Source organism: Homo sapiens, chromosome 4, assembly GCF_000001405.40.
Source record: "Homo sapiens chromosome 4, GRCh38.p14 Primary Assembly".
Taxonomy (NCBI): Eukaryota; Metazoa; Chordata; class Mammalia; order Primates; family Hominidae; genus Homo; species Homo sapiens.
This window is the reverse complement of record NC_000004.12, coordinates 123,921,341-123,933,989: the sequence shown is the minus strand read 5'-3', so window position 1 is coordinate 123,933,989 and position 12,649 is coordinate 123,921,341. Positions and strand designations below refer to the sequence as shown.

Genomic DNA, 12,649 nt, shown 5'->3' with positions numbered 1-12,649 from the left:
GAGCTACCCAAATCTCAAGAAATGATATTTGAATGTCTATTATTAAAGCTTACAATGATCTTATCACTCTTGCTGAGGTTTATTCAAGTTAAATATGAGAATTTGTGACTGAAAATTCCACAGTACTTTCTCTTATTGTGAAGCCTTTCCCAACCATTGCCTTGGTCCTGCAGTGTATGAAATTATTTCTTCAAGTACTGAACCCCGTTCTCCACATACAAATTCCCAATGTTTGGCCCTACAAATATCCAGCATCTTCAAAGAATAAGGTAGACAATACCACTGTGTAGGAACAGGGATCTCTCAAGGGGGTGAAAACGGGCCACTTGCGCAGGTGCCCTGGAACTTTGGGCAGATGGCAATGGGCACTAAAACATTGCATTAATGAGCAATTGCTTCTTTCAGAAAGACATCCCTAGTTACTCTGTCTGCCCAATGGGCAAACCTTTGACAGCCTTGTTATGCAATCAGTGTATTGTACCTAATGTGGCCTGAGTGTTAACTTGTTAGCAATATTCTGTTGACCCTTCCAAAGATAGAAGAGGGGATAGAAAGGGAGAAAGAAAGAGAAAGAGAGAAAAACAGAGAGGGAATGAAAGAGGGAGAGGGACATACTAAAAAGTTTTTTTTTTAATTTGGGGGAAAATAGCCTTTTAATAATCCCAGTCAATTAGCATTGGTATACAAATTATTGGTTTAGTTTCAGAATAAATTGGTTATCTTAAGAAAGTCAATAAATAAAACATTTCATGCTGCAGAATTAGTCTTTTTATAATTAGGGTCACCCTAAGCCAAGAGTGAAGTCCATGACTGTGTCTTTTACAAGTCCTCCATATCTGCTGGCAACTCCCACATTGGGTATCCACTTTCCTGGTTCCTTGATCTTGTTTGAGTGAGAAGCCCATAGCTGACAGATAACTCATAAGTTCTCTTGCTTTGCTAACCTAGTTGTGTATAGTTTCTTCTCTAGCCTGTTTCACAATTTAGCTATTTTATTTAATTCATTCAAGTTCAGGCCTCCCATGCTTTCAAATTAATCTGATAAATTAGTCTGTGCTAATGGGTTGGGATTATGGCTAAAAGATTCTCAGTTTCTTTATGTAAAAAAGAAAGGCAGAATTTTTGAATTTTTATTTTTATTTTTCCGTAAGTTATTGGGGTACAGGTGGTATTTGTAAGTTCTTTAGTGGTGATTTGTGAGATTTTGATGCACCCATCACCTGAGCGGTATAGACTGCACCATATTTGTAGTCTCTTATCCCTCGCCCCCCTCCCCCCAACCTTCCCCCAGAGTCTCCCAAGTCCATTGTATCATTCTTATGCCTTTGTGTCCTCATAGCTTAGCTCCCACTTATGGGTGAGAACATAAACAATGTTTGGTTTTCCATTCCTGAGTTACTTCACTTAGAATAATAATTTCCAATCTCATTTAAGTCACTGCTAATGCTGTTAATTCATTCCTTCTTATGGCTGAGTAGTAGTCCATCGTATATATATACCAGTTTCTTATCCACTCATTGATTGATGGGCATTTGGGTTAGTTCCATGATTTTGCAATTGTGAATTGTGCTTCTATAAACATGCGTGTGCAAGTATCTTTTTTGTATAATGACTTCTTTTCCTCTGGGTAGATACCCCGTAGTAGGATTGCTGGATCGAGTGGTAGTTCTACTTTAAGTTCTTTAAAGAATCTCCACACTGTTTTCTATAGTGGCTGTACTAGTTTACATTCCTAACAGCAGTGTAGAGGTGTTCCCTGATCACCGCATCCACACCATCATCTACTGTTTTTTGATTTTTCGATTATGGCCATTCTTACGGTAGTAAGATGGTATCACATTGTGGTTTTGATTTGCATTTCCCTGATCATTAACGATGTTGAGCATTTTTTCATATGTTGGTTGGCCACTTGCATATTTTATTTTGAGAATTGTCTATTCATGTCCTTAGCCCACTCTATCTACCTATCATAATGGTTTCAACCCAACTAGACCAACAGATATTTTATAATTCTGCATTTATTGTTTGGAAATTAAATCCATAGGTAACATAAACTACCTATGCATGTGATTTCAAGTGCAATGTATTAACTATAATATAAAGAAAATAAGAAGAGTCATTTATATAAAATTAAACTTTTCTCTATGTAAAGCTCTGTACTCTAGAAGACATAGTGAAGTAGTCAGATGTTTGCACTTCTATGTGGAATCATGGTGACTAGAATATCTGTAAGTGTAGACTATTATGAGAAGTGCTGCTGGTAAACTCATTCTTCAAAATGGTGAACAACCTAAGTAGAGTTCATACAAAGCAGAATTCAATGTTTCCTTGATTTATGCAATGGTTGTTACTGCAGGCACACTCAAGTGTGACTCCCAATTAGTTATAGCTCTTTACAATCCCCTCCCCTTGAGTGTAGATGAAGCCTGTGGCTTGCTTCTAACCAATAGACTATGACAAACTTGATGAGATATCAATCCAGTGATTATTGCACACCAGGTGCCAAAAATGAAGGGATTTAATACATGTCATTAGGGTTTCTCAAAGTTGATTTTGAGTTCATTAAGAAAGATGCGATCTTGACTTGACCTGGCCTCATCAGGCCAGCCCTTTAAATGAGAGTCTAGAGATCAGAGAGACTGGAAGCAGCAGAGTTATCTCTATTGCTGGCCTTGAAGAAGCAAGTTGCTATGAGTTCTACAGCTGCAAGGATATGAATTCCACCACCAACCACGTGAACTCAGAAGAGAACCTAACCTTTAGATGAGGCCATATCTCTGGTCAATATCTTAACAGCAGCTATGTGAGACCTTGAGCAGAGGACTCAGCTAAGTGTGTCCAAACTAGTGGCCTATGACTCATAAACTGTGAGATAATAAATAATATTTTTTAAGCTGCTAAGTGCATAGTGATTTGTTACACAACAATAGAAAATAAGCAGTTACATTTTTCAAATAGTGAAAAAATAAAGCATACAAAACTCACTTCATGTATACATATGTAAAACACAGGTTGAGGTTCACAAGATTCCAATGTTTTCACCTGTAATAATATCCAGTGTTAGTCAGAACATGTGAGAATTCTTCCTTGTACAGACTATCCCTCTCACTGCAAGATGTCTGGCATTTCTGGACCCTAACCACTAACTGCCTGTAGCATCCCACCAATCACTATGTCAAAAGGAAAAAAAAAGATTCTAAAACATTTCAAATTCCCACTTTGGAGGCTTTATTTCGTTAGGTAAGACTCAATGGCAGATAAAGATATTGAAAAGTCTTTATTACTGGAGCCAAAGTTCTGATTCTAAGATTTAAGCAAAGTTCTTCAATTTTGGGATGAGGGGAGATTAATAACAACTTTCAGAAACTGATAAACAGCATGAGATCCATTTCCCTAGAAGGTAAAATGCTCAGAAAAAACAACATCAAAGTTTTAGGTAAAATTGTAGGGTGTACTGGATTTCCTGAAGGACGTTATGGTTCCTTATGAATGCGTACTTCTTACTCTGAGGATGACAACATCAGAGATGACTGAAGAAGGTAAGGCAATTTTTCCAAATGGTAAGCAATTTGGGAAAGTTTTTTTTTTTTTTTAAGTGAAGGACTTTAGAGTTTGTGTTCTTCAAACACTGTCTCCTAGGTTATTAAATCAGCAAGCCAGACACCAGATAATAAGACGTCCTCTTTCTTGTTCATTTGTTGCCCAAGAATGATTTGAGAAACTGAGGAAGCTTGAGTAGATTCTTGAAGATAACAAAAGAGTAATTACAATCATTTCAGTTTACCAAACATTTAATTAAAAACAGTTATAGAAAAACATGTGTTTCTTATCCTTCAGTTGTTTTATAATCAGCAAGGAAAATGAGAAAGTAGCAACTCAGAAAATTAAGAGAGCAAGGACATTTTAAAGAAAGCATTCTAAGGTGCAAGGGAAAATCTTGGTTGCATAAAATGGAAAACAAAGGGTAAAACAATAAAAATCAACATTATTAACATTTTTAGGGACTTTCTGTTTCCATGGTCTATGACTGTTTTGTTGAATGTATATCCCTAATTTTTTCCTCATTTAAATGATCTGATTTTGACTGCCATGATATTGTTTGACCTTTTTATGAATCAGGACATTTTCTGCCAGAAGTATTGCACTTTTTCCCAAAAAAAATATCAGTTGTGTTTACTTGGTTGATGATTCTTTTCACCAGACAGAAGTTTATTTTGTTTGGATGGATGGTTTGCTTTGGTTCTCATAGACACTTTCTCAATTCTGAGTTTAGGTCACTTAAGAAGTCCTCTCTTGGTCTAAAATAATAAATAAAGTTATTATTATTTTTTCCTAGAATTTATGTGGGGTTTTTTAATGTTTAAATATTTGGTGTAAGGAGCGAGATAAAGACCCAAGTTTACTTAATTTTGTTCTAAATATTTAGTCACTCTGTTATAAATTAAATTTTCCTGTGTTTGGGACTGTTCCTAGATTGTGTTCCGTTGCTGTCTATTTATTCATAAGGACTAAAGAATTTTAATTTTTGTTGCTTTATTACATATATTTTCAGAAACACTAAGGCTAGTTCCCCATTATTAATTTTCTTTTTCAGGATTCCTCAGAAGATTATTTTATGTTAATTCATCCAGATGAGTTTTATATTATATTGTTAGTAGAAATAAGTTAATATCAAATTAATAATTGATATCATATTGGATTTCCAGATCAATTTAGGTACGTTGATATCTTTACAATACTGATTCTTCTTTTCCAAGAATGTAGAGTATCTTTGTATTTTCTTCAGTCATCCTTTATGTTCCTCAGAAATGTTTTTATTCTTTCTTTATGTAGGTATTACACACCTTTTATGAAGTATATTTCTAGATATTTTGTGTTTGGAATTGGAATTGTAAAGAAAAAATTCTTTTCATTTATGTTTTCTAATAAGCTATTGTTTATATATGGAAAAAAATTTTCCTTATTAAAATTTTTAAAAAGAGCTGTGACTCTGAATTTTCCCAGCATCTAATTTTTTTCTAACTTTTTTTTTTTTTTAAGTTTCAGGAGTACATATGCAGGTTGGCTCTATAGATAAATTGCATGTTGTACAGGTTTGGTGTACATATTATTTTGTAAACCAGGTGATACTGATAGTATCCAACAGGTAGTGTTTTGATCCTCAGCCTCCTCTCACCCTCCACACTCAAGTCTCTTTGTAGTCTCTAAGAACTTGTTTTATAAATCCAGGTGCTCGTGTATTGGATGCATATATATTTAGGATAGTTAAATCTTGTTGAATTGAAACATTTACCATCATGTAATGCCCTTCTTTGTCTTTTTTTATTGTTGTTGGTTTAAAGTCTGTTTTGTCTAAAATTAAAATAGCAACTCCTGCTTTTTGTTTTGTTTTGTTTTCTGTTTGCTTGTTAGATTTTTCTTCATTTCTTTACTTTGAACCTATGGGTGTCACTGCATGTGAGATGGGTGTCTTGAAGACTGCATAGCATTGGGTCATGTTTCTTTACCCAACTTGCTACTCTGTGCCATTTATTTGCAGCATTTAGCCCATTTACCTTCAAGGTTAATATTGATAGTGCAGATTTGATTCTGTCATCATCATGTTACCTGGTTATTATGCAGACTTGATTGTGCAGTTGCTTTATAATGTCAACGGTATAGGTACCTAACTGTGTTTTTGTGGAGGCCAATAATGGTCTTTCATTTCCATGTTTAGCACTCCATTAAGGATCTCTTGTAAAATAGGTCTGGTGGTAATGAATTCCTTAGCATTTGCTTGTCTGAAAATAATTTTACTTCTCTTTCTCTTATAAAGCTTAGTTTGGCTGGATATGAATTATTAGTTGGAGTTTCTTTTGTTTAAGCATGCTAAATATAGGCTGTAATCTCTTTTGGCTTGTATGGTTTATGCTAAAAGGTCCATTGTTAGTCTGATAGGCTTCCCTTTGTAGGTGACCTGCCCCTTCTCTCTAGCTGCCTTTAACATTTCTTCTTTCATTTTGACCTTGGAGAATCTGATGACTGTGTGTCTTGGGGTTGGTCATCTTGTATAGTATCTCACAGGGGTTCTCTGCACTTCCTGTATTTGAATGTTGGCCCCTCTAGTGAGGTTGGGGAAATTTTCATTGATATCCTCAAATATGTTTTTCAAGTTGCTTGCTTTCTCTCCATCTTTCAGGGATACCAGTGAGTCTTAGATTTGCTTTTCTACATAGTCTCATATTTCTCAGAGATGTTGTTCATTCTTTTTTATTTTTTCTTAATTTTTGTCTGACTGATTTAGTTCAGAGAAGCAGGCTTTGAGCTCTGAGAATCATTCCTGAGCTTGGTGTGTTCTGCTGTTAATATTTGCAAATTGTATTAGAAATTCTTGTAGTGTGTTTCCAGCTCTATTACATCAGTTTGATTCTTTCTTAAAATGGCTATTTTGTCTTTCAGCTCCTATATCATTTTATTGTAGTCCTTAGATTCTTTGGATTGGGTTTCAACTTTCTTCTAAGTCTTAATGACTTCTTTCACTTAGCATGATGTTTTTGAGGTTTATCTATGATATGGATAAACCATGTCTTATTGCCAAATAATATTCCACATATAGATATACCACATTTGTTAATTCCTTTACCAATTGATGGGCATTAAACTGTTTTCACTTTTTGGCTATTATTAAAAAGGCTGCTATGAAGATTGGTGCACAGGTCTTTGAATGGACATATGTTTTCATTTATTCTTGCATAAATACCTCGTAGTGAAATTGCTGTGTCAGATGGTAAATTCATGGTTAACTTTTTAATAAACTACCTTGTTTTTAAAATAATAAACAAATCATAATAATAAAATGTTACATCAGGGCTATGACCCAGTTGCCTAAATTTTAGCCTTTATAGACATTTTGCTTCCCTTATAATTCATTTATTAATTACCAATTATATAGATGACTTATTATATCAGACTGTAACCAAAAGTTCAAAGTTTCAATTGCTATGTAGCTATCAAAATTATTGAATTAATTGTACTTTGTTCTCTTTATACCATTCTAATTACTTTATTTATTTTTCCTTCTATTTTTTCTTTTTTCATTCTTGTTTTATTTATTTTTGTTTTAATTGGTTTGTTTTAAATTTGTTTTATATTTCTAAGCTATATGATTATATGTATAAAGCATAATTTAAAAATCTATCCATTACTATTATTTATTTCATTTTATGAAATTTACTAAAATAATTTTCTAGAATAAAGGGAAGATATTTAAAAATGATTTACTTCAGGTGTCAAATGCATTAGGTATACCAATAAAATTTGATAACTATAAGAAACCAACAGCCCTTTAAGTAACTATTTGGTGATCAAAAGTAATTTGTCTCATGGTGCCTCTTCTACTCTGCACAGACAATGAGCACTGCCAATTTCTTTTAATAAAAGAAAAAAAAAAATAGAGAACTGTTAGGAGTCATACCAAACATTTTCATGGAGGAAAAAACAGCATATTATTAAAAAATGGGAGAAAAAAACTAGTGTGTGAGAGGAAATGTAAGATTAACTAGAATTTGGCAGAAGTCACTGCCCAGTCACTAGGAGTATGGTCAGTCAGCATATAGCTCCCCAAGTTGGTCCCAAATGGCCATCTTCAACTGTAGAGATCTAGTTAAGATCACATCCATGTGGGAGTGACCACTGTGGTGACTGAGCAAGGCGGGAATATCAAGAACCGATTTTCAGCCCTGCAGAGGATAAAAACTCAGCCATTTGGGCCCAAAATGGGACCCTGGCTCTGTATGTCAGTATTCACTCCAGAGCACCCTGCCATTTTGGTGCATCACGGTTGTACTTCCTTTGCTCCATCCTACTTCTGCCACCTTCCTTTCACAGTAATTGATCCAGAGACACTGGAATCTGAACTAAACAGGGTGTGTAAGTGGGAGGAGCACTACATAAAAATGACTGGACACTGTCTTGCTGTAGCAGCTAGCAGAAAATGGAGATATTTAGGTTAAATTCAAAGATGGTTAAGTTGAAAGACCTAACATACAATCTGATTTAATAGTAAAGGTGAGTGATACTTTTTGCCGTAGTCTAGATCTCTCTGAATTTGATCTTTACAAGTATAGTTACTTTGTTTAACTGAAGAATCTTACAAAATCTCTGCTTTTTCAATAATTGTTAAAGTTGATTGCGTACTGCAGTGGGTCAGATGCAATCCTTGGTTATTGGACTTTCTCCATTTTCTTTAGCCTCTGTTGGAAAGTTGGTAATTGTTCATAGGAAGTTTTTATGAGCCAGATCTGGAAATAACAATATCACTTCTATTCACATTATATTCCTAAGAAATCAATCACATGGCCACAGGCAGAGGAAACAAAAATATAGGTTAGCTGAATATCTAAGAGGGAGATGAAGTGAGATTTGTGAGCAGCTGGCTAGTCTCTTTCAAGGATAGCAAGCAAATAAAATACCTTGAACCATGCTGAAAATTTTCCCCCAAAGCAGCAGATATCTTCTTTAGAAGAGCAGGAAGCAGGACAAGTAGTAAGCCAGTCAGAATTGGGACATTTGCTTTTGAAGGGTTCAAGGCACAAAACAAAACCCCAAAGAATCTCTTCTTTGAAAACATGAACAGCTGGCACAGGAAGATATTGTCACACTGGATCTGCTTACCTGCAGGGCAAGTTTGCCAAATAAGCAAAATGAACCATGCAGGGATGAAGCTCCGATTTGGGTCTTGCTCACTCCACACTCCCATCAGGTTGCTGGGCTTCTGAGAAAGCACCTAATCTTCTCACCTGTGATCTTCAAAGAGGAAGCCTCATCGCTATTTTGACAGATGAATTAGAAAAAAAAAAAAAAACAATGAATCTTTTTTCAGTGAGGAATTCAAGGCAAAAAAGAATAAAGTTTTAAAAGTAAGATTTACAAAAAAAATTTATTAAGCAAGAAGCACAGAAAGAATTACTTTTGAAAATGACTTACCAGAGAAAATATTTTAAAACGTATTGTATTGGTTACTTATTGCTACATAACAAATCACTCCAATAAGTGTAAACTTTTCTTACTGCTCATGCATCTGTGAATCTACTAGAATCTGATTGACATAGGCTTGGCTCAACTGGGAAGCTCTTTTTGTCACTGCATGTCTATTAATTACCTAGGGTGGCTCTGCTGACCAGCAGGCTACCCATGGTTATGTTATTTCCATGATCGGCCAGAAAGAAAAGAAAACAAGCAAGAACATGTGAGGTCTTCCAGGCTTGCACTTAGAATACAAACTGTGACTTTTGCTCATGTGTCATCAGCCAAAGCAAGTCATATAGCCAAGCCCAGAGACAAGATGAAATGAGTACATGCCATCTGTGATGACGAGGCCATAGCAAGGGAACAGACGCAAGAAGAGGTGAAGAAATGAGGAAAATAATGCAATAAACCACAATTTATTTTAACAAAATTTAAGTAACAACTTCAAAACAAAAGACAGACATGATAAAGAGATTGTCTTCTTTCTTTTTTCATCAGGGTACAACCAGATGTAGGTGTTTTACAATTTATATGTAACCTCTTTAAATCTTTGGACTCAGTTCAGAAATTCGTTTCTATCAATGCGTCTTTTCTGTGTGAGATCAGTATGTTCAAAGTGATAAGAAAAAAGAAGAATGGGCAAACAGGAAAAAATTTAAATGGAGCTGAACATGAAAAAAATCCTATAATTATAAATTTCACAAAATCAATTTAAAATTAATTTTAACAATACAGAGAAAACCTATTAATATAGAAGATTGAGTCAGACATCTGGTGACCCACCTTGACGCACTTTGCCAGGTTCCAGAAGAAAGAAAATAAAACAGCAACACAGAAAGTATTAAATTGGAGGACAGCACACAGAGATCCAAATTTGATCAATAATTCTGAAAAATAGAACAGAAAATATACTGAAAAAAAGTATTAATAGAAAAAAATTTGAATTGAATCTAAAGATTTAAAGAGGTTACATCTGAAGAGTAAAAATCAACCCAGATATACCCTGTTGAGACGTGAAAGACAACCAGCCTAAAGGTGGGAAAAAAATGTAACCTAGCACGGCAGAACAATTACACTGAGGCAGGACCTCTTCTGCACCACACCAAATGCCAGAACATGGGAAAAACAGCTACAAATGCATCAGGGGAACAAATTTTAAGCCAGATGCTCTATGTTCACTGAAGTTTTGTTTCATGTGTAACAGTAACTGAAAGAATATTATCTATTTATTTGTCCTGAAAAAAAAATCAAGAAAGTATTCTATTAAGGTTTATCTGTACATATAAAAGGGGAAATTACAGCATAAGAACAGTAGAAGTGAGTCTCAGAAAATATGTAAATATAGCATTGAGTATAAGGAAATTGTTTAACAATATTTTATCAGAAAGTACATTTTAACACTATTTGAAAGAAAAGTAAATTAATCCTCACATAGTAATAAACTAATACTTTAAGAAGCTGGGTAAGAAATTGTAGATTGTATATTTTTAAAATAATATGATGGGAAAGAACAAAATAAGTTTGTGACACAAAATTGTAACTTATGAATCTTCAAGCTGAATAATAATAAAATACAGGATCATGTAATCAAAAACTAGTTTTTTCAAAAAAAAGAAAACAACAGTAGGAGGATACTTTCATAGCTCTCTGTCCCTGTTATATCAAGCAAAACAAAAATGAAGAAAGATATGGGTAGTGAATCAGTTAGAATGCCTTGGCCAATAATAGAAAACAGAATTCAGAAGTTTAAAAATTGGGAAAAATATTTATTTCCTTTTTCCTTTTTTTATTTTTAATGTTTTTGGTCTTTAATAAGAGGAAGTTGGATGAAAGGCTGTGCCTTTGTGATATCAGAAAAGACCTACATATCTTTAATCATCTGTTCTGTAATTTCCCTATGACTAACTCCCTTCCTGGTTATAAGATTAAAATCACACTCTTCATCCACACATGCAGACATGGCAAAGTCCTGGGGAAGGAAGTGGATAATTAACTCCTTATTTCTCTCCCTGTGTGTCTCTGTCTCTGTCTCTCTCTCTCTGAATGAAAAAATATTTTATACTCAATATCTCTCCAGCAGATTTCCCCTGGATTTATGTTGGTCACTCCATCAGCAGAAACAATTTACTATTAAACAATAATCAATTAGGTAAGCATTCTGCTAATGAAGATTGAAAAATAAGCTTAAGGAAAGCTAAAAACGAATAAGTATGAAATAAGAAAATATTAATTTTTGAAACAATAGAATTAATAAATAATTTTCATAGATATTTTGCTAGAAATTAAACCAATAACAGACAAACTTTTAGTGTAATAAATAATGTATAAATATACAAAATTAGAAATAAAGGTGGAGATATTACCACGGTTTTAGAGCATTTTTTAAAACAATAAGATACTTAGCAAAATACATAAAATGAACATACAGGAAAAAAAATACAGCTTTCTATTTTATTAACAATTGCCAGTTAAAAAGCACAAGGGCAAATGTTCCAGAGCAACGAGAACTCTCAGAAACTGCGGTGAAAAGTGGAAAAGGATGCAGTCACTTTGGAAATCTGGGAATCTATACTGAAACTAAGCATATGCGTCCCCAGCAATTCCACTCCTATATATAGGTTTTCTATATATAAGAAAACCCTAAAGACTCCACCAAAAAACTGCTAGAATTAAAAAATGAATTCAGTAAATCTTTACTACTTATCAGAGAAATACAAATTAAAACCATAATGAGATATTACCTTACACTTGTTAGAATGGCTATTATCAAAAAGAGGAAAGATAACAAGAGTTGGTGAGGATGTGGGGAAAAGGAAACATTTTCACACTGTTGATAGGAATATGAATTAAGATAGTCATTACATAAAACAGTATGGAGATTCCTCAAAAAATTACTTGATCCAGCAATTTTATATATATACTTATGTATGTGTGTGTATGTATATGTGTATATATGCATATACACATATATATACACATATATACACATATACATACACATATACATACACATATATACACATATATACACATATATATACATATATATATACACATATATATATACACACATATATATATATCTCCAAAGGAAATGAAATTAGTATTTCAAAGACATATCTACACTCCCATATTCACTGCAGCATTATCACAATAGCCAAGATATGGAATCAACCGAAGTGTCCATCAACAGATAATTAGATAAGGGAAATATAGTATATATACACAGTGGAATACCATTAAGTCTAAAAAAAAAAAGACGAAGAAGAAGAAAGTCCTGTCATTTCAACAACGTGGATGAACCTGGAAGACATTATGCCAAGTGAAATAAGCCAGGCACAGAAAGACAAATACACATGATCTCACTTATCTGTATGCTACGGTTTGAATATGTCCTCCAAAAAACATGTGCTGGAAGCTTAATCCCCCAGTGCAACAACGTTTGGCAGTGGGGCCTAATAAGAAGTGTTTAGATAATGAAGGCTACATTCTCATGAATGGATTAAAACCAATTATAAAAGGGCTTGGGGCTGTAAATTTAATCTCTGGCTGTCTCTCTCTCACTCTCTTTGTCTTTCTGCCATGGCTGATGCAGCAAGAAGTCCTTCACCAGATTCAGCCCCTCGATCCTGAACTTTCCAGC

General features: G+C 34.1%; 1 long non-coding RNA gene across 1 annotated transcript in view; it reads right to left on the bottom strand.

The window, feature by feature from the left end:
- Positions 1-3,211: 3,211 nt before the first annotated feature.
- The window catches only part of LINC01091 (long intergenic non-protein coding RNA 1091), a 280,788-nt gene continuing 271,350 nt past the window's right edge, over positions 3,212-12,649 (bottom strand). The window contains exons 5-6 of the long non-coding RNA NR_027105.3: positions 8,653-8,806; positions 3,212-3,742 (exon numbers count right to left, since the gene is read on the bottom strand). This is a non-coding gene — a long non-coding RNA (long intergenic non-protein coding RNA 1091). The remainder of the gene's footprint in view (positions 3,743-8,652; positions 8,807-12,649) is intronic.